General features: G+C 46.0%; 1 protein-coding gene across 3 annotated transcripts in view, besides 5 other annotated features; it reads left to right on the forward strand.

The window, feature by feature from the left end:
- Nucleotides 7,805–7,884: an enhancer, noted in NCBI's record as "active region_16114". NCBI's record gives its function as "activates an Ori minimal core promoter by ATAC-STARR-seq in GM12878 lymphoblastoid cells {active_cell/tissue: GM12878}" and the evidence as "EXISTENCE:reporter gene assay evidence [ECO:0000049][PMID:35858748]".
- Nucleotides 8,383–8,632: a silencer, noted in NCBI's record as "silent region_11692". NCBI's record gives its function as "represses an Ori minimal core promoter by ATAC-STARR-seq in GM12878 lymphoblastoid cells {active_cell/tissue: GM12878}" and the evidence as "EXISTENCE:reporter gene assay evidence [ECO:0000049][PMID:35858748]".
- Nucleotides 8,663–9,752: a silencer, noted in NCBI's record as "silent region_11693". NCBI's record gives its function as "represses an Ori minimal core promoter by ATAC-STARR-seq in GM12878 lymphoblastoid cells {active_cell/tissue: GM12878}" and the evidence as "EXISTENCE:reporter gene assay evidence [ECO:0000049][PMID:35858748]".
- Nucleotides 8,878–21,043, forward strand: part of KCMF1 (potassium channel modulatory factor 1) — an 88,312-nt gene continuing 76,146 nt past the window's right edge. For 2 of the 3 annotated variants that reach the window (XM_047445126.1, NM_020122.5), the window contains exon 1: nt 8,878–9,184. Coding sequence is in view for 2 of the 3 variants with exons in the window: in NM_020122.5 (NP_064507.3) it covers nt 9,169–9,184 (16 nt within the window). In the remaining variant the exon portion in view is untranslated. Of the gene's footprint in view, nt 9,185–9,567; nt 9,958–21,043 lie in introns of those variants that run through there. The other variant, XM_006712052.4, reaches the window with a different exon arrangement.
- Nucleotides 12,151–12,692: an enhancer, noted in NCBI's record as "H3K4me1 hESC enhancer chr2:85201557-85202098 (GRCh37/hg19 assembly coordinates)". NCBI's record gives its function as "activates a minimal SCP1, AML or CMV promoter by ChIP-STARR-seq in primed H9 embryonic stem cells {active_cell/tissue: H9 hESC(primed)}" and the evidence as "EXISTENCE:reporter gene assay evidence [ECO:0000049][PMID:30033119]".
- Nucleotides 12,693–13,234: an enhancer, noted in NCBI's record as "H3K4me1 hESC enhancer chr2:85202099-85202640 (GRCh37/hg19 assembly coordinates)". NCBI's record gives its function as "activates a minimal SCP1, AML or CMV promoter by ChIP-STARR-seq in primed H9 embryonic stem cells {active_cell/tissue: H9 hESC(primed)}" and the evidence as "EXISTENCE:reporter gene assay evidence [ECO:0000049][PMID:30033119]".

A 21,043-nucleotide genomic window follows, 5' to 3' on the forward strand; every position in this document is an offset into this window, starting at 1 on the left:
GTCGAGGCTGCAGTGAGCCATGATCATGCCACTGTACTCCAGCCTGGATGACAGAGCAAGACCCAGTCTCAAAAAAACAAAAACAATAATGACATCAGGCTGTACATACATAATTTAGAAAAGAATGTTTTGTAACCTGCTTTTTTCACTAAAAACACATCATATTTCTAGTTCATTACCCATTTTTAGTTGCTGCTTTTGGTTTGGATAGACAATAATTTATAGGTTTTCAATTTTAAATATTAAAAAGAACACTGTGATAAACATTCTTGTGTCTAAAATCTTTGCATCTATCAGTAATTACTTAAATAGACTGAGTTGAGCTGGGATTACTATGGCAAAGAATGGGCAAAAATCTATTGCTCTTGAAACCTACCATAAAATCCCATTTGGAATGCTTGTAACAAGTCATATTCCTTTCTTGACATCCTCATTATCAAGTATTATTAAAAGTATTTTTCTGCCAATTTAAGAGGTGAAATGGTGTCTCCTTTTAATTTGGATTTGATTCCTAGTGGTTGAGTTTGTTTCACATTCTTATTTCAGCTCATCTTCTAGAAGTCATCTATAGCTACTGTCAGTTTCTAGGCTTCCAAGGACACCCTTCAGCCTACTGCAATGCAGCTTCTTACCCTACTCCTCCATGGACAGATGACATCCATTTCTGAAATCCAGGGGCCACACTTCAATCTATCTCATGAGGTATCTCTGCTTGGTGGACACCGATGTTCTCCCTTCCTGAAGACTCTGCTTCTCTGACTTCTGTGAGCATAGCCTCTTCTGGTCACTCGTTCTCTGGCATAGACTTCTTCTCTGTGGGCTGGCAGCGAACAGTGGGGCCTTCAGCATCATTATTGCTCAGGTCAGTACAAAGGACCACATAAGGGAGTATGATAGTGAGGAGCCAAGATCACTCCACATCTCGAGAAGAGATGATAGCAGCCTGGAATGGTTTGGTGGCCATGGGAATAAAGAGAAAGGGACTGATTTGACAGATGTTTAATGGGTAAACATCACAGGATTTGGCAATTGGCTATGGAAGATAAATGGGAGGAAGGAGTCTAGGATGACTGTTGTGTTTCATCTTGTTGGGGGGTGACTTGACTAGGCTGATGACTTTGCTCAATCCAATAGGGGATACAAAAACAGCAAAGACATGAAAGAGAAGATGATGATAGTGGTATCCCAGAAAATGAGAGGGTAACCAACAGCACCAAAAGTCAGGCAATCAGATAAACCAGTTTCTAAGCTGAGGAAGGGGAGTGACAATTCTTTCAAGAAGATTGTCCACAGAGAGAAACAATAGGGTAATAACCAGGAGTGCAGGGTTGAAGGGGCGTTTTTTGGCTGAGGGCAACGGACCAGTAGAGGCTGAGCAGCTGAAAGTACAGGTGCCAAGGGGGTGGCTGAAGGAGTAAGATCCCATTGATGGGATGAAGTGGGATCATAACAGATGACAGGTTGAACAGAAAGGCTATCTCCATGCATGAGGCAGCAGGATGCAGATGTACACACTCCCTTGGAGGCTCACAGTGGGAAGTGAAAGTTCCTGCATTTTGAACTTTCCTCCCTCTGTGAATTAGGAGGTGAGGTTATCTATTAGGCACGTGGGTGAGTAAGCAGTTGGAACCAAGTGGTGAATGTTTATAGAAGAGGGTTCTGACCAAAGACAAAGATTGCTCAATGGCACTGAGGTCCAACCGCAGTTGAATGCCCTAGATTCATAACAGCCACAATCTGTACACTTCTATCATTTTTAGTTGTTATATTCTACACCCCAAGCAGATACACACAGGGATAAACTGAGTCAGGCAATTCAGGCTTGGAAGCTTGCAAAGCTGGTAGAGTTTGAGGATGAGGGGTTTAAGGAGCTGAGGGCATGAATGAGAAGTCTGAGTTGACCACAGGGCACCAGTTGCATAAGGTAGAGAATGGGGTTAAAAAGGGAAAAACAAAAGAAAAAACCGGCTGGGCGTGGTGGCTTACACCTGTAATCCCAGCATTTTGAGAGGCCGAGGCGGATGGATCACTTGAGGTGGGGAGTTCAAGACCAGCCTGGCCAACATGGTGAAACCCTGCCTCTACTAAAAACATAAAAATTAGCCGGGCGTGGTGGCAGGCGCCTGTATTCCCAGCTACTCGGGAGGCTGAAGCAGGAGAATCACTTGAACCCAGGAGGCGGAGGTTGCAGTGAGCTGAGATCAGGCCACTGCACTCCAGCCTGGGCAACAGAGTAAGACTCTGTCTCAGAAAAACAAACAAAAACCATAACAGCAAGTGCAAACATCAAGGATTAGGCCAGGCGTGGTGGCTCATACCTATTAATTCCAGCACTTTGGGAGGCTGAGGTGGAAGAATCACTTAAAGCCAGGAGTTCAAGACTGGCCTAGGTAACAAAGCGAGACCCTTGTCTCTACAAAAAATAAGAAAATTAGCTGGGTGCAGTGGTGCACGCCTGTAGTCCCAGCTACTCAGTGTCCACTGATAAATAAAGATGATTGCTCGAGCCCAGGAGTTCAAGGTTGCAGTGAACCATGATCGCACCACTGCACTCCAGCCTGGGTGACACAGCAAGACGCTGGACATTAAAAGAAAAAAAAAAAAGGTTTAGTGGTAGAGAGTAAGAAAACTGAAAAATAGGAAGTTACAATAAGACAGATTATTAGAGTTTCGAGCATGGTCACAAGAGAGGAATGGGTGGTTGAAGTGGAAGTGCACACAGATTTGAAAAAAATCAAGGCCTTGTAAGGCCAATTGTAAGGCCATACTTGAAAACATTCAGGGTGGCAGAATTTGGGATGAAGACTGCAAAGCAGAATTGAGGCCTCAGTGACTCCTGCATAGTGACTGTGAGATTGATAGATAACAGAGAACTGGTGAAGTAACCAGATGGCATTTGGGCCTTCTGACCCTTTCCAGACTTCATGGAAGTGGCAGAAAACTGTAGCCAACATCAGGGCCTCAAATTGTGGTTCCACCAGTGACTAGCTACATGGCCTTGGGCAAGTCAATTTAACCTCTCTGTGCCTCACTTGCCTTATCAGTAACATGAAGACATAATAGTATCCTCAAGTAAAGTGCTTACAATAAGGCCAGCCACATGTACCAGAGCACTAAATGTCAGCATCATGACCATTTCTCATTTGAACAATGAGGGCTTTGTTAACAGTCTCTAAGGCACAGATTCTTAAATATTTTGGTCTCAGAATCTTTTTACATTCTTAAAAATTGTCGAAGACGCCAAAGAACCTTTTTTTTTCTTTGAGACAGAGTCTCGCTCTGTTGCCCAGACTGGAGTGCAGTGGTGCGACCTCGGCTCACTGCCTTCCAGCGAACCGCCTTCCAGGTTCAAGCAATTCTCCTGTCTCCTGAGTAGCGGGGATTACAGGTGTGTGCCACCACACCCGGCTAATTATTTTTTGCATATTTTGTAGAGATGGGGATACACCATGTTGATCAGGCTGGTCTTGAACTCCTGCACGTGATCTGCCCGCCTTGGCCTCCCAAAGTGCTGGGATTACAGGCATGAGCTACTGTGCCCAGCCCTAAGAACTTTAAAAAAAAGTATTATATCTGTCAATATTTTTCATATTAGAAAACTGAGAAAATATTTTTAAAATACATAGTCGGCTGGGCGTGGTGGCTCACGCCTGTAATCCTGGCACTCTGGGAAGCAAAGGCGGGTCAGGAGTTTGAGATCAGCCTGGCTAACACAGCAAAACCCCATCTCTCCTAAAAATGCAAAAAACTTAGCCAGGCGTGGTGGCGGGGGCCTGTAATCTCAGCTACTTGGGAGGCTGAGGCAGAATTGCTTGAAACCAGGAGGCAGAGGTTACAGTGAGCCGAGATGGCGCCATTGTACTCCAGCCTGGGTGGCAGAATGAGACTGTCTCAAACAAACAAACAAACAAACAAAAACGTAGTCACTTAAAAACAGTAATAAACCCACTATCTAGTAACAGAACACATTTTAAAGAAAAATAACTTATTTTTTCCCAAAAAATGTGGAAGTACGATATTGTTTTTCAGATCTCTTTAATGTTTGGCTTAAATGAAGACAGCTGGATTCTCTTCTTCTGCATTCAATCTGTTAGGATGTGCTGTTTGCTGAAAGCATGAAAATCCTAGCACCTCACCTCACCTCTTGGGGACCTTGGACCGCACTTTGAGAACCATTAGTTTTTCTTTCAGCTCTACATCATTCACAGCCGGGCCTGGTGGCTCATGGCTGTAATCCCAGGACTTTGGGAGGCTGAGGTGGGTGGATCACCTGAGGCCAGCAGTTTGAGACCAGCCTGGGCAACATGGTGAAACCCCGTCTCTACTAAATATACAAAAATTAGCCAGGCGTCATGGCACCCTCCTGTAGTCCCAGCTACTCAGGAGGCTGAGGCAGGAGAATCACTTGAACCCGGGAGGCAGAGGTTGCAGTGAGCCGAGATCGCACCACTGCACTCCTGCCTGTGCGACAGAGAGAGGCTCTGTCTCAAAAAATAAATAAATAAATAAATAAATAAATAATTTGTTCATTCACTCACTCATTCAACACTACTGGATCCCAGAGACAAAGAACAATGTGGTCGCTGCCTTTGAGGAGTCTAGTTGAGAAAAAAGATGAAAACGAATTAAAAATTACAGCACGACATGAGTGAGCAGAGGAGGAAGTTAGGAAATTACTGGTTTGCCTAAGGGAGGCAGGGAAGGCTTACAGGAGTACAGGGAACCCGAATTTTGACTTTACTTTCCTATGCTCCACCTAAGCAGAAGGAAGAGTATGCACAAAGGCACAGGGGCAGGAATTAATACAGTACAAGGAAGCCCAGGGTGCGCTGGCAGGAAGAGTCCGTATGCTGGAAAAGCACGTTGGGCCTTAAAGTTACATTTCATCCTACAAGCCCCAGGAGGCTGGGGTGATGAGAGCTTGCTTTTCTTTTTTTTTTGAGAGGGAGTCTCGCTCTGTCACCCAGGTCTGGACGCGATCTCGGCTCACTGCAAGCTCCGCCTCCCGGGTTCACGCCATTCTCCTGCCTCAGCCTCCCAAGTAGCTGGGACTACAGATGCCCACCACCACGCCTGGCTAATTTTTTTGTATTTTTAGTAGAGACAGGGTTTCACCATTTAGCCAGGATGCTCTCGATCTCTTGACCTCGTGATCCGCCCATCTCCGCCTCCCAAAGTGCTGGGGTTACAGGCGTGAGCCACTGCACCCGGCCAAGAGCTTGCTTTCCTTATCTTAATTCAGGTTTACTGAAGTATAATTTATATAGAAGTAAAAACCACCCTTTGGCTGGGTGCGGAGGCTCACGCCTGTAATCCCAGCACTTTGGGTGGCCGAGGCGGGTAGATCACTTGAGGTCAGGAGTTCGAGACCAGCCTGGCCAACATGGTGAAACCCCGCCTCTACTTAAAATACAAAAAATTAGCCGGGCGTGGTGGTATGCACCTGTAATCCCAGCTACTTGGGAGGCTGAGGCAGGAGAATCGCTTGAATCCGGGAGGCGGAGGTTGCAATGAGCCGAGATCACACCATTGCACTCCAGCCTGGGGGACAAGAGCGAGACTTCATCTAAAAAAAAAAAAAAAAAAAAAAACCACCCTTTTAGGTGTATAGTTCTATGAGTTTTGACAGATTCACAGAGTCATCCAGTAATGTAAATACCACAATCAAGTTAGAGAATATTCTCATCATCTCAAAAAGTGTGATCAGTCCACCCTTCCCCAGCTCCAGTTGCCAGTAACCATTGATCTAATTTCTGTCCCTATACTTTAATTTTTTACTTTGAAATAATCATTTACCCATAGGTAGTTGCAAAGAGGGCCCAGGTACACTTTCTCAAATGGGAACATCTTACAAAGCTATGGAAAAATATCAAAAGCCAGGAAACTGACATTGGTACAATACTATCAAGTAGACTACAGACCTTATTCAGATTTCACCAGTGCTTACATCCATTAGCTTATTTGAAAAAACATAATTGGGCCATAGTATGAAAGAAGGGTCAGCCTAGCAAAAACACGCATTAGTTACAGTTGTCCACAGAAGAAAGGAGAACTCAGGAGGGTGCAGAGAGAGGAAGGGACTGGAGGAAAACATTTCTGGAGTGGAACAAAAATCATTTGGTAGACAATTTGGTATAAGGATTTAAATTAATCCTTCTTGATCTTCTTTTCTTTTTTGAGACAGAGTGTCACACTGTCACTCAGACTAGGATGTGGTGGTACAATCACGGCTCACTGCAGACTCGACCTCCTGGGCTCAAGCAATCCTCCCACCTCAGCCTCCTGAGTATTTGGGACCAAAGGCGGATGCCACCACGCCCAGCTAATTTTTTTTTTTTTTTTGAGACGGAGTCTCACTCTGTCATCCAGGCTGGAATGCTCCCAGGTTCAAGCAGTTCTCTGCCTCAGCCTCCCAAGTAGCTGGGATTACAGGCGCGTGCCACCACATCAGGCTAATTTTTGTATTTTTAGTAGAGATGGGGTTTCACCATCTTGGCCAGGCTGATCTTGAACTCCTGACCTCGTGATCCACCTGCCTCGGCCTCCCAAAGTGCTGGGATTACAGGTATGAGCCACTGCTCCTGGCCGCTAATTTTTATATTTTCCGTAGAGATAGGGTTTCGCCCAGGCTGGAAATTAATCCTTTTTTTGGAAATGAAATTTCCCATATGGCAGGGCAGCAAGCAAAAGGTTGTTTTAAATTGAACAGCCTGACCGCTAAGTGAATGAAGGTCATGAAAACCCCAAATAACCATAATATTTCTGCTTACTCTTATTTAAAGAGGAAAAAAAATGGTTTAGTTACTCTCTCCTTACTCTTGCCTGACTGAAAAAAATGAAGTAACTGTCGAAAACAAAGTTATCTGTTTAGTTAGCTAACCCTCTGCAAAACCAAGCAAATGAAATCTCTATATTTACTCTTAGTCCCTCCTGCAGTTCAGTACTGTTGTAGGCTTTCCTATCTGCTCCACCATTTTATCAGACTACAGCACTGATAATGCCTTAATCTCTATACAATTTATTTATAGACATCACTTACCCATCAGGAGACAATGGGATCAGCGTTGTTCTCCCCATTTTTACAGCCCAAGAAATTGAGGCTCCTGATACCCAGGATCACATATGCCAACACCGTAAAATGCTCAGAAAGGCATCGACACAGAGCTTTACTTAATACCCTTCTTTCTACTCCACCACACCCCATTTACGGCCAGGTTGGATCTCTTTCTACAAGAGAAATGGAATAAATTTGTGCAGGAGCTCCATACAGGCAATAAAAATATCTCTGGTGACAAAGTCCTCATTTAAACTCCAGTTTGTTTATCACTAGTTACTACCAAATACAGTCCCTTGGGAGTTCTGAGTGACCCAAAACCTACTTCCTGGACTTCAAGATGAGCTTTTAGTTTCTTTGAAATCAGGAAGTGTCTTAAAACCAGATTCAATGAAATACGGTAACAATCTTTTTACTGTGTCCTGTGCTAGGTATTTTATATGCATTTTAGCACTTAACCTCCAAACCTCTTATTATTAAACCTCTGTTGTTACGTCCATTTTAAAGATAGAAAAGTCAGGGCACAGAGAGGTTTAGAGATCACACAGCCAGCAAATGGTGGACAGTATAAGAGTAACCTCAAAGCAAGCAGTACCCCAGATTCCAATTTCAGTTGACTTAGCCTGGTAACAGTTCAATTTTATGCAAAACCCACAACTTCAAATGGAAAAAGATAAATTAAAACAACCACAAAAACCAGACAAATGGAGGCTCAGCAGGCCTTGTAGCTCATCCACGGTTACACAGAGGATCTCAGAGCCAAAATTCCATGGCCGATCCGTCTTGACTTCAAAGCGCGATCTATTTCCACCAAACCACGGAACCATCGACACGTGGTAAGGGGCAGTACAAAGATTTGTTGAATTAATAATGCCTGAAAACAAATTGACAATAAGAAGGTAAAAATGGAAAACACAGATAAAATCGGAAAAGCAGACCACTTTCAGGAAACAAAAAACTCCAAATTTTCAAGGCAGGGCATTCACGGTGAGCCAAGGCGCTGGGACAAAGTTTGCGCGGGTACCGCCGGACTCCCGGGCTGCCCGGCGCGGAGTCTTTAACGGAGATGGTTCGCAAGGAATCGGCCTCGGAGCCCGGCAGCCTCCTGGCTTCCCTCCTGACCACCAGTAACCCGGCCGGGAAACACTGGCGAAGACCGGGGGCCAGTCGCCTTCCCTTTCTGGGCTGTTGGCTTAAAATACACACAAACACAAGTCCCCAGGCGGTCCGCGGCCTCTCAGTGGGGCTGGAGCTCGCTGCCCGAGGCCCGCCCGGAAGCCATGCACCTGCGGACAGGAGTCTCTCCGAGTCGCAGCTCGCCGCCGAGAAGCACCCACCTCCCGCGGCCGGCGCAGCCCAAGGCCCTGGCCCCTATAGCCCGGCCTAGGCCCGCCCCAGGCGGGGCTAGGGGCGGCGTGGCGGGCGGGCGCCCCTCGGGCCGCGCCGGTGAGCAGCGGGAGCCGGCGCCGGGCATTTCCTCTTCCTCCCTACGCGCGGCGCGGCGGCGGCGGCGGCGGCCAGGCCGAGGCTGGGCACGGGCGCCCGATCGCGGCCTGCTGGCTAGCGCGGGCAAGCGCCGCGCCCCGAGCCGCCGTCGCCGCGTCGCCCCCGTCGCGACCGCCGGCCGCGGGGCCTCCGGGCGGCTGGGCCCGGCGAGGGCAGCGAGAGGCGGGGCTGGCGTGCGGGCGGCGGAAGGAGGCGGAGGAGGAGGAAGAGGAGGAGGAGGAGGCGGCGGCCGGGAGCCGGGGGAGAGGGGCGGGGGGTGGGCCGGGGGAGGGGAGGAGCGGGATTTGCGGAGCGCCGCGCCGCTGCCGGGAGCCGGCAGGCCCGAGAGTGACCGGAGTCACGGCGGGCGCCGGCGGAGCTGCGGCGTCGGACCCGCCTCCTGGAGGAGCTCAGCCCCGACCAGGCCCGGCCCCATTCCCGCCCCGCGCCGCCTCCCCGCCGCCGCCGCCGCCGCCGCCGCGGGAGCGCTCCCCTGCCCACCCCGCCCCCGCGGCCGAGCCCGGGAGTCGAGTGGGAGTCGGCCGGCCGGCGCGGGCAGCGCCGGGACCCCGCGGGGGACACTGCAGCCGGAGCCCGGGAGGGGCCGCGCCGCCACCGTCTGAACTAGGATGTCCCGACATGAAGGTGAGAGGAGCCCCCGCCCCCACCCGCACCTCCCGGGCCTCGGCCTACCCCGCCCGGGCCGGGCGCGGCGGAGGGCGGCCGGGAAGCGGCGGAGACTTTGGCCGAGCCCGAGCCGGGCCCGAGGCGCTGGACCCGGGAGCGAGCGAGCGAGGGCGGAGAGCCGCGGCGCCGCTGCCGCCACGGCCGCGGCCCTTAGCTGGGCCTGGTGCTGGAGGCGGGGCGGCCCGGGCGGCCGGAGGGTTTGCACTGTCATGGGGCGGAGGGGGAGGGGAGGCGGCGGGGCCCGTTACCGGCGGGAGCTCGGCCTTCGGGACTGATACCGGACGCCAAGGCCCGCCCGGCCGGTTCAGGAGCCGCGGGCCCCAGCGCGGCCTAGCGCTCCCGCCGCCCCGGAAGAGCCCGGTGTGGTCGCAGAGCCGGGCCGCGGGCGGCAGCAGGAGGCAAAAGAGCCGGCCCGGGACCCGGCAGGCGCGTCCGGTCGCCGGGAGACGACGGCGAGTGTCCCCGCCTGCGGGCGACCGCGGGGCTGGCGGGAAGGCTCTGCGGCCAAGGGACGGGAAGCCCTCGCCGCCTGGAGCCCGCCCCGGCCTCGCGGCTAGGCCTCGGCGCGTCCCTGGGCTCGGGTAACCAAGTTCCCGGGGTGGATCCGACCCCGCCGCAGCAAGCAAACTCCCTGCTCAGTCACCCAGGCGGAGCAGGGCTCGCTCCCCGCGGCCCTGGTGCCCTCGCCGGCATGTGCTGCCTACCAGACCAGGTTTTGGAAAATGACGATGGTGAGGTCTGTTCATGGTCGGGGGTCGTTTTGGACCTTGTTTTGCCATTTTAAAACACGATTGGAGTACAGTTGCAAATAAGCAGACAGCTCTAAGCCCAGTCCCAGGGCACAAAGAGACAAATGTTTAGGGTCGATGTATAGGCTTTGAGCTGGTAAGAAATAAGTTAACTTTAATTTATTGCCATATGGTTTAGAAAAGGAGGAGGGGGTTGTGTTTTCTTTGTTTCACTACTACAGGTTTTTGGATAAAAAGTGTTAAGAGTCTTGGCGAAAAGTTTGTCCTGCTAAGGTTAATACAAGATTGTAGAAGTGGCTTGAAAGTTTGTGTACTCCGGATTTTAAAATCCTGTATAGGTGATGTAGGAGTGGAGAAAGTTTAGTGAGTCAGTTTAGTGTGTGCTTAGCACTATGGGAAGGATATTCTTTGGGAAATACGGACCTTAGAATTTCAAGGCTGAAAAACTCAGATTGATTAAAATTGTATTTAGAACAAGTTTCAAAATTCGCATTACTAATTGCGACGTTGAAATTGACTCAACATTCTGTGTTCAACGATTCTGTATTTTAAAAGTTACAAAACTAATATGAAATATACTATATTTTCTTCGCAAAGCATTTGTTGAGTACTTACAGTGTTCAAGTGTTGGGCATTTTGAAATAATGAGGTACCTAGCCTCATTGAAAGGGACACAGAAGTAGGAAGCTATGCCTCTTTTCCCCACTTCGTCTGCTTAATCGAAATGTATCCTTATCTCTGTAATTTTAAGAACTCGTAATTAAAGTTATAATCAGTTTTCAATTTGGGATATTAAAGTTTATCTTAAACTGTAGTCCTGTGTACATTGACCACCTTCAAGACAAAACAAAAGTGAGCAATGGCTGCAAGCTCTCTTACTCTTGAAAACTGGGAGGGTTAGTTAGAGAATCACAGCCATGGAAGAGTGTTTCAGACCCATTCTCCTTGGTCTAAGAAAGCATACAGATAGTTCCAGACGAGCATTCTAATTGAAGTGTCCTGGGAAGAAAATTCCTTCACCCCCAGTGCTCTGTTAGAGTAATTAAAATCTCATATTTGGAACATTCTTGAATGTAACATATATTCTGTAATTTAAGCCCATTTCCCCCCATTTGGTGCTGTGCAAAGGTGTGTGGTTATGAAACTTATATTACCTTTTAGTTACTTGAATATTGCTGAACCTCAGCACACTAGTAGCACACCTTTCCTAGTAACTTATGTTAATGTCAGTAAATAGAACATACCTAATGAAAAAGGAACATACCTAAATACATCTGTTGAAGACTTATAGTACAATATTCGACAAGTGATTCTCTTTCAAGGGTCTAGTTTATGGCCTAAGACAGGAATAGCAGTCTCACGAATCACATTTAACTCATTAGATACATATTTTGTGGAATATTAGTTCAGACTGTCATTATTGTCATCAGTAAGACTTTGACCTATCAGTAAATACAGTGTTTGGCACCCTTGCTATTAGTTCTTTTCTTACCTTTGCCTTTTTTGGGCCAAAGAATCCCATTTCTTTCAGCATTTCTTTCTTTCTTTCTTTTTCTTTATTTCTTTCTTTTTTTTTTTTTTTTTTTTTTAGCTGGAGTCTCACTCTGTCACCAGGTTGGAGTGCAGTGGCGTGATCTCGGCTCACTGCAACTTCCACCTCCCAGATTCAAGCAGTTCTCCTGCCTCAGCCTCCCAAGTAGCTGGGATTACAGGCGCCTGCCACCACACCCATCCAATTTTTGTATTTTTAGTAGAGATCGGGTTTCATCATGTTGGTCAGGCTGGTCTTGAACTCCTGACCTCAGGTGATCCACCCGCCTTGGCCTCCCAAAGTGCTGGGATTACAGGCGTGAGCCACCACGCCCAGCCTCCGTGTTTCTTTAGTGGTGTAATTTTTGCACTCTCAGTCATCTGTCCACCTCCAAATTCTCTGTAGTTCTCATTTCCTTTCAGTAGTGTGATCCTGAACTGGATATAATAGTCTGGTAAAAGGTTTGAACAAGCCTATCATGTTGTACTTGCTTGGTGCTTCCTTTTCAGGGCCTTATGTGTGCAGGTAATATGTTACTTTGTCTTTGTACCCACCCTAATGAATTACACTAAATCCTATGATTTTATTAATGTAACTTTGGATGACACAGTCCTGAGATGGACACCTGTCAAGCTTGAAGGCTCAACCTTGTGAAGCAGTGCCTCTGAGAAAGGCAATGCAACCAGGAGCATAGAGAGATGCTCTAGTCCCGGGTTCAGCATGCTTCTTCTGTAAAGGGCTAGGTGGCAAACATTGCAGGCTTGGCGGAGCTGTAATAGTACGAAAGCAGCTATAGACAACCTGTAATTGAAAGATCATGGCTCTGTTCCAATTAAAACTTTATTTGTGGACACTGACATTTTAATTTCATATATATATATATATATATATATATATATATATTTTTTTTTTTTTTTTTTTTTTTTTTTTTTTTGAGACACAGTCTTGCTCTGTTGCCCAGGCTAGGGTGCAGTGGCGTGATCTTGGCTCACTGCAACCTGCACCTCCCGGGTTCAAGTGATTCTCCTGCCTCAGCCTCCCGCGTAGCTGGGATTGCAGGCGCCCACCACTGCGCCCGGCTAATTTTTGTATTTCGTTTAGTAGAGATGGGGTTTCACCATGTTGGCCAGGGTGGTCTCAAACTCCTGACCTCGTGATCCGCCGGCCTCGGCCTCCCAAAGTGGTGGGATTACAGGCGTAAGCCACCGCACCTGGCCGAATTTCATATAATTTTCATGTGTCATGAAATATGATTTGTCATTTGACACCCCCACCATTCAAAAATACAAATAACCATTCTTAACTTTCGGGCTATATAAAAGCTGGTGGTGGACCGGCCGTGGTGGCTCACGCTGAGGCAGAGAATTGCTTGAACCCAGGAGGTGGAGGTTGCAGTGAGCTGAGGTCGTGCCACTGCACTCCAGCCTGGGCGACAGAGTGAGAATCCATCTCCAAAAAAAAAAGTGGTGGTTGGATTTGGCCTGAGGGCTGTAGTTTGCCTTACTTTACCTCTGCCCTAGACTGGCGCTTTAGAGAGTTGATAGAGCTTGAACTATCAAGAGTCTAGAAGGGGCCCAGTCAGCTTGGGATTCCGTCATTTTCTTTGGGTGATGGGAAATGAGTTCACAGACTGAACCAGCTCCTCCGTACTTCACTTTTCAGCAGCACCATGAGGAATGGAAATAATTGTTCCTCAGGAGTGGACAACAGGCTCCCCACCCTACAGACCCTTAGTGGAGATGGCAGTACCCTACATTTTTCCTGCTTGCCCGTTAATACTTTTCCAGTGAGAATTGTAGGGCCACTTTTAACTCACTTTGTGGTGTTCTTGTCATGTTAACATTTTATAGACTTTAGCACCCACTTTGTGTTCACCCTGCCAACACTGTCTAGTTCACAGTGAACCCAATCATTTTTTATCTTGATGTATTTTTTAAAATGTCTCACTATCATACTTTCAAATACATTTAAAATGTAAGTATGTTATTCAGAGCTTAAAATCTACTTTTAAAGCTTTCCAAATAAAAAAAAGCAACTTAACAAATTGCTCGCTGCTTATTAGCTAAAATGAAATCATGAATGTTCTTGCATAGATTAGAGCCTAATTGATTACCTGGATCTAGGTACATGTGTCGCCTTAAATCATTCAACCTTTCAGTCACTACTATGTGTAAGGCAGTCTGCTAGGTTCCAAGGAATGTGGGGCTAAGTGAATAAGATGCAGCTCCTTACTTTAAGTCTGGCAAGGAAGATGCATTTTTTACGTAGCTTCCACAGTGCATTGTGAAACATGCCATAAGGAAGGGATAAACACTGATGACAAAGTAATTGCCAACTTTTACTAATTTTGTCAAATTTCAGAGAGGTACTCTACTGTGATTCTAGCACTTTTTTCTTGAGTGCCTTCTTAACTCCTTTTTTTTTTTTTTTTTTTAAAGACAGAGTCTCGCTCTGTCGCCCAGGCTGGAATGCAGTGGCGTGATCTTGTCTCACTACATCCTCCACCTCCTGTGTTCGAGTGATTCTCCTGCCTCAGCCTCCCGAGTAGCTCGGATTATAGGCACCTGCCACTGCTACTGGCTAATTTTTCTATTTTTAGTGGAGACAGGTTTCACCATGTTGGCCAGGCTGGTCTCGAACTCCTGACCGCAAGTGATCCACCCACCTCAGCCTCCTAAAGTGCTGGGATTACCGGTATGAGCCACCACGCCCAGCACCTTCTTAACTCTTTCTGGGCTACTTTTGATTTTGGGTAAAATTGTTTGAGATTTCAAGCCGGTTGCAGTGATGTGCACATGTAGTCCCAGCTAGATGGGAGGCTGAGAGACCCTATTTCTTTAAAAAAAAAAAAACAAAAAAAAACAAATTGAGATTTCAAGTAGAGTCCTTATCTTTATCTGATTTATAATTTCTCTAGCTTTTTGAAGATTTTCACATGTAAAAATGATAGTGGATAAATGAGCAGGTGGTCATATTGTTATGCTAGTTTCAGAAGTATCTGATACTATTTATTTTTAAAATGTAAAATACAAGACTACGTAGGCCATTAATCTACTTAGTCCCAACTTTTTTTGTTTTTATTTTTTTAATTGGCAAAAATTGTATATATTTATCATGTATAACATGATGTTTTGAAATATGTATACATTGTAGAATGGCAGCTCCAACTTTTTGAAAGTTGTACCACTCTTTTCTTAGTAGATTCTAATTTTCTCTCTCTCTCTCCTTTTTTATAATTATTTTTTTTTACTCTCTGTTGCCCAGGCTAGAGTAGAGTACATTGGTGGGATCTTGGCTTACTGCAACCTCCATCTCCCAGGCTCAAGTGATCCTCCCATCTCAGCCTCCCAGAGTGTTGGGATTACAGGTGTGAGCCATTGCTCCTAGCCTTAATTTTCTCTTCTCAAAAAATGTTATCTGCCACTGAAGCACACATATAGACAGAAATAATTTGGTTTTGGGATTTGGGGACTGCAAAGCCAAGATTGGTAATTAGCATGTGATTTTAATGCAGTGCCTTTTGCCTCCCTATAGAAATGTAAGTGGACTCCCACTGATAAGATCCTTACCATCAGGTCTTCTTACAACTTATTGTACTTTAACTGTAATCTGTTAACAGATTATGACATTCTTAAGACTTTTTCAGTTCGTTTTTTGTTTTTGAGACAGGGTCTCTGTCGCCCATGCTGCGCACCAGCATAGCCCGCTGCAGCATTGACCTCGCAGGCTCAAAGAATCCTCCCACTTCAGCCTCCATAGCAGGTCGGACCACAGGTGTGCGCCCCACACCCGACTTTTTTTTTTTTTCTTTTTTGTAGAGACTGGATCTTCCAGTATTGCCTAGGCTGGTCTCAAACTCCTGGGCTCAAGTGATTCTCCCACCTCAGCTCTCGAGTACTGGGATTATAGGTGTGAGCTGCCATGCCCAGCAACTTTTTCAGTTTGAATAAATCGTAAATTACATTTACCTTGACTTTCAATAGAGAATATATAAGAATGTAAATTTATGGGAAAATGAATCACATTTTAATTTCTGGGGTCTTTGATTTCATAATTTCATTTAAAGTTCATTTTGAAGCTCATTTTCCCATATTTTTATATTCATGTTTAAGTTAAAATGTAGTAAAACATAACTACATGTTCTTGTTTCAAATTGGGAACTCAATTTGGAAGAGATTCCTTTTAGTCTGAGATTTTAAGATGTTTTAGCAGCAATCTTTTTTTTTTTTTCTTTCCTCGCTCTTGTTGCCCAGGCTGGGGTGCAATGAGGCGATCTCAACTCACCGCAACCTACGCCTCCCAGGTTCAAGTGATTCTCCTGCCTCAGCCTCTCGAGTAGCTAGGATTACAGGCATGCGCCACCTCACCCAGCTAATTTTGTATTTTTAGTAGATAGAGGGTTTCTCCATGTTAGTCAGGCTGGTCTTGAACTCCCGACCTCAGGTCATCCACCCGCCTCGGCCTCCCAAAGTGCTAGGATTACAGGCATGAGCCACCGTGCCCAGCCTTAGCAGCAGTCTTGTAAGATGGTAACTTTTTCACAGTAGCAGCTTATGAAACTTATGATGTGAAATAACTAAACAGACCCCTTCATATTAAGCTTTGCAACCTTTTTAAAAGAAATCCATGCATCATAACTTATTTTCAAAACATCAACTTTATGATATCTATCATATATATTTGCCTAGGTTTTTTGTCTTTTGGTTTTTGGGTTTTTTTTTTTTTATACTTTAAGTTTTAGGGTACATGTGCACAATGTATTTGGGTTTTTTTTTGAGACAGAGTCTCACTCTGTCATCCAGGCTGGAGTGCAGTGGCATGATCTCGGCTCACTGTGGCCTCTGTCTCCCAGGTTCAATAAATTCTCCTGCCTCAGCTTCCCAAGTAGCTGCATTACAGGCATGTACCACCATGCCTGGCTAATTTTTGTTTGTTTGCTTTTTGAGATGGAGTTTCGCTCCTGTTGCCCAGGCTGGAGTGCAATGGCGCGATCTCAGCTCACCACAACCTCCACTTCCTGGGTTCAAGCGATTCTCCTGCCTCAGCCTCCCGAGTAGCTGGGATTACAGGCATGCGCCACCATGTCTGGCTCATTTTGTGTTTTTATAGAGACAGGGTTTGTCCATGTTGGTCAGGCTGGTCTCGAACTCCTGACCTCAGGTGATCTGCCCACCTCAGCCTCCCAAAGTGCTAGGATACAGGCATGAGCCACCGTGCCTGGCTAATTTTTGTATTTTTAGTAGAGATGGGATTTCACCATATTGGCCAGGCTCGTCTCGAACTCCTGACCTCAAGTGATTCCCCCTTCTGCCTCCCAAAGTGCTGGGATTACAGGTGTGAGCCACCGCGCCTGGCCATGTTTTTTTTGTTTTTAAACTAGAAGCTCCAAAAGTTTTTAGTGAAGGCTAAGCTGTCATTGAATTATCCTAGAAATAATGTTTTTTAAATCACTTTATGAGCTGGGCGCTGTGGCTTATGCCTGTAATCCCATGGGAGACCAAGATGGGTGGATCACTTAAGGTCAGGATTTTGAGACCAGCCTGGCCAACATAGTGAAACCCCATCTGTACTAAAAATACAAAAAAATATCTGGGCGTGATGGCAGGCGCCTGTAATCCCAGCTACTCGGGAGGCTGAGGCAGGAGAATCTCTTGAACCCAGGAGGCGGAGGTTGCAGTGAGCTGAGATCACCCATTGCACTCCAGCCTGAGCAACAAGAGCGAAATTCTGTCTAAAAAAAAAAAAAAAATCACTTTATAAATATAGCTGTGGGGCTACTTTCATGCATATGGACTCAAAGGAAGCGCTCCCTAAACTGCATATTCATAAAAGTTAAAAGTAGAATGCTGTTCCTAATAAAAGTCTTTTTTTATAGAAGATTAATTTTTTAATTAATTTTAGTGTTGTGCTAAGGACCATGATGTTTTTCATTTCCTTAAAATTATAAGGTATTTTTTCAGTCTTTGAAGTTATTCATTAAAATTGAGAAAAGAACCCGTAAGCAGTATACAGATCAGAGCATCTTAAAATTTGGTAATTTTTTTTTTTTTGAGACCGAGTTTCACTATTGTTGCCCAGGCTGGAGTGCAGTGGCGCGATCTCGGCTCACCGCAACCTCTGCCTCCCGGGTTCAAGTGTTTCTCCTGCTTCAGCCTCCCAAGTAGCTGGGATTACAGGCATGCGCCACCACGCCCGGCTAATTTTGTATTTTTTTTTTTTTTGTAGTAGAGATGGTGTTTCTCCATGTTGGTCAGGCTGGTCTTGAACTCCTGACCTCAGGTGATCTGCCCACCTCAGCCTCCCAAGTGCTGGGATTACAGGCATGAGCCACTGCGCCCAGCCAGTTATTTTTATATGTTAGCCATGTCTTGATTTATGTTAAAGATCTGGGATAAGGCAGACAGTTTCCTAAAGGAACATATTACCTAGATTACATGAGAAGGAAGTGAGGAGCCAGGAAAAGATAGGCTGTTCTTGGGTTGGTAAGGACCAGTGGCCAGGTGGGTGTTGGCAGAGGAAAGACAGGCAAGGTGGGTGTGAAGCTTGGAAATGGATCTGTAGCTACAGGATGTTGGAAACAGAAAACCAGCTCTCACGCCTGATGGAATGTCTTGAGAGCTGGGTACCAGGAAGTGAAAACACTGCCCAATGAAATGAACAAGAGATGAATGAATTGCCTTGTTAGGCACCTTCCACCATTCCCTCTCTGCTACATCCCTGATGGCCCTCTTGGTGTTTGTTAACCATGGTAACTGCCTGTAGAATTGTTTTTAGTTGTTGGCTCTCTGAGTTGTAGCAAAGTAGAATTATGAGTTCATCCAATTCATATACACAGTCAATTAGCCTCATATCTTTTTTTTTTTTTGTCTTGAGGCCGGGTCTCACTCTGTCACCCAGACTGGAGTCCAGTGACATAAACAAGGCTTACTGCAGCCTCAACCTTTGGGCTTACGTGATCCTCCTGCCGCAGCCTCCCAAGTAGCTGGGAGTACAGGCATGTGCTACCACGCCTGAATAATTTTTGAAATTTTTGTAGAGATAGGGTCTCATTGTGTCATCCAGGCTGGTCTTGAACTCTTGGGCTCAAGCAATCCTCTTGCCTCGGCCTCACAATGTGCTGGGATTATAGGTGTGAAGCACCACACCCAGCCTAGCCTCATCTCTTCTATGGCCACAGTGCCAGCCAGCAGTCCATCAAACTTTGCCAGTGGCCACGGGGGTACTGGCAAAGAAGTATAGATGGATCCCTGTAACTTAATCACTGCTACTAGAAAAAAAAAAACTGAGATCAGAAGAGTGGGTCAGTTGTATTACCCTCAGCTAGAAGAAATAGCAGAAGAATAAGTGGATGAAGCATCTTGATATCATGACTAATTAGGTTTGCACATTATCTTCTGTTGAATTTTTTTTTTTTTTTTGAGACAGAGTCTCACTCTGTTGCCCAGGCTGGAGCGCAGTGGTGCAATCTCGGCTCACTGCAAGCTCCGCCTCCCGGGTTCATGCCATTCTCCTGCCTCAGCCTCCCAAGTAGCTGGGACTACAGGCACCTGCCACCGCTCCCGGCTAATTTTTTGTATTTTTAGTAGAGACAGGGTTTCACCGTGTTAGCCAGGATGGTCTCGATCTCCTGACCTCGTGATCCACCCACCTCGGCCTCCCAAAGTGCTGGGATTACAGGCGTGAGCCACCGCGCCTGGCCTTTTCTGTTGAATTTTAATGTTTTTTTAATCTCTTTTGCTGGTACTCAGTGCCAGTGTCATGATATCAACTTTTTCTACAGTAAGAGGATTTTCATTAGGAGAGTCACTTTTTAGAGTACTAGGTTGATGAGTTGACTTGGAACAGTCACAGGTATATTTGATTATAATTTATTATTTGGTTATGACTTTTATTGTTCCTTTGAGACTCTGTCATCCTCCCTACTCAGCAAAGTAAAGGGTCTCTCCAGCAGCACTCCTGTCTTATTCTCCAGGCTTTTTGTTTGTTTGTTTGTTTGTTTGTTTTTTTGAGATGGAGTCTGGTTCTGTCGGCCAGGCTGGAGTTCAGTACCGCAGTATCAGCTCAGCTGCAGCCTCCGCCTCCTGGGTTCAAATGATTCTCCTGCCTCAGCCTCCTGAGTAGCTGAGATTACAGGCGCCCACTACCATGCCCAGCTAATTTTTGTATTTTTTTTAGTAGAGACAGAGTTTCACCATGTTATCCAGGCTGGTCTCGAACCTCTGACCTCAGTTGGTCCGCCTGCCTCTGCCTCCCAATGTGCTGGGATTACAGGCGTGAGCCACTGTGCCTGGCAATTCTTCATAGATTTGTGATTATCTTTTGATACTTAGAAAAGAGCTAAAGGGATTAAACATTTATTTTTGTGTTCAGTGTAGTTTTTGTGTTACGGGTTTTTGTGAATGGTTAGATAACTAACAACTATTGGGGTGAATAGCTGTACCCTACTGTTCTTGTTCCACCAGTATTCTCCTTTGGTGTCCTCTGTGGTTGTAGAGGTTTGGCAGTGTAAGCAGAGAAGTTTTCTAAATTAGGAGTTAAGGATGTTGAAGTAGAGCAGGCAGGGATTATATAAAGGAGTTACAGATGTGTTCCTTATTTTCTTTTTTTTTTTTTTTTTTTTTTTTTTTTTTTTTGAGCCAGTCTTACTTGTCGCCCAGGCTGGAGTGCAGTGGCGCAATCTCGGCTCACTGCAACCTCCACCTCCTGGGTTCAAGTGATTCTCCTGCCTCAGCCTCCCGAGTAGCTGGGATTACAGGCATGCACCACCATGCCCTAATTTTTGTATTTTTAGTAGAGACGGGGTTTCGCCATGTTGGCCAGGCTGGTCCTGGACTCCTGACCTCAGGTGATCTACCTGCCTTCGCCACCCAAAGTGCTAGGATTACAGGCTGAGCCACCATGCCCGGCCCTTCTTTTCTATGATATTGAAATACATGCTGGGAGTTGAGGATGGTTGGATGGTGAATGGGAACCCAGGTAGTTTTCATGTTCAAAGATCTTGATGTTCAGTCTGACACTGTTAGGGATTTGTATGTAGTTAATTGCGGTTCTAAGTCAATGTAAATTATACAGTGTGTTTGTATGGCTATACATATGAATATACATAGTGGTCACAGAGGTGGGACTGATTTTCTCTTCTCTAGGAAAACTGGTGATAAGAACGTCAAGTGACAGTAGATGAGAAATACAAGTGTTCCTATATTAGATCAGTATCAAGGGTCTTCATTCTGAGTCAGACATGCTGTATATTTTCATGTTTCTTCGTTATTCTAGATCATATTTTCTACAAGCTTTTTAAAAGCCACCATTGGAAGAGAAATAACAAATCTACTTGCAGAATTGGCATAGACCATTGCTATCCAATAGAAATCTAATGTAAGCCACATACATAATCTTAAATTCCCTGGTAGCCACATTTTTAAAAAAGGAGGTGAAATTAATAATGAAATAACAACCCACTATATCCAAAATACCATTTCAACATGTAACTGACATAGAATTGTTTATGATATATTTACATTTTTTTCTTACAAAGTC

The sequence above is a fragment of the Homo sapiens genome, chromosome 2 (genome assembly GCF_000001405.40).
Source record: "Homo sapiens chromosome 2, GRCh38.p14 Primary Assembly".
Taxonomy (NCBI): Eukaryota; Metazoa; Chordata; class Mammalia; order Primates; family Hominidae; genus Homo; species Homo sapiens.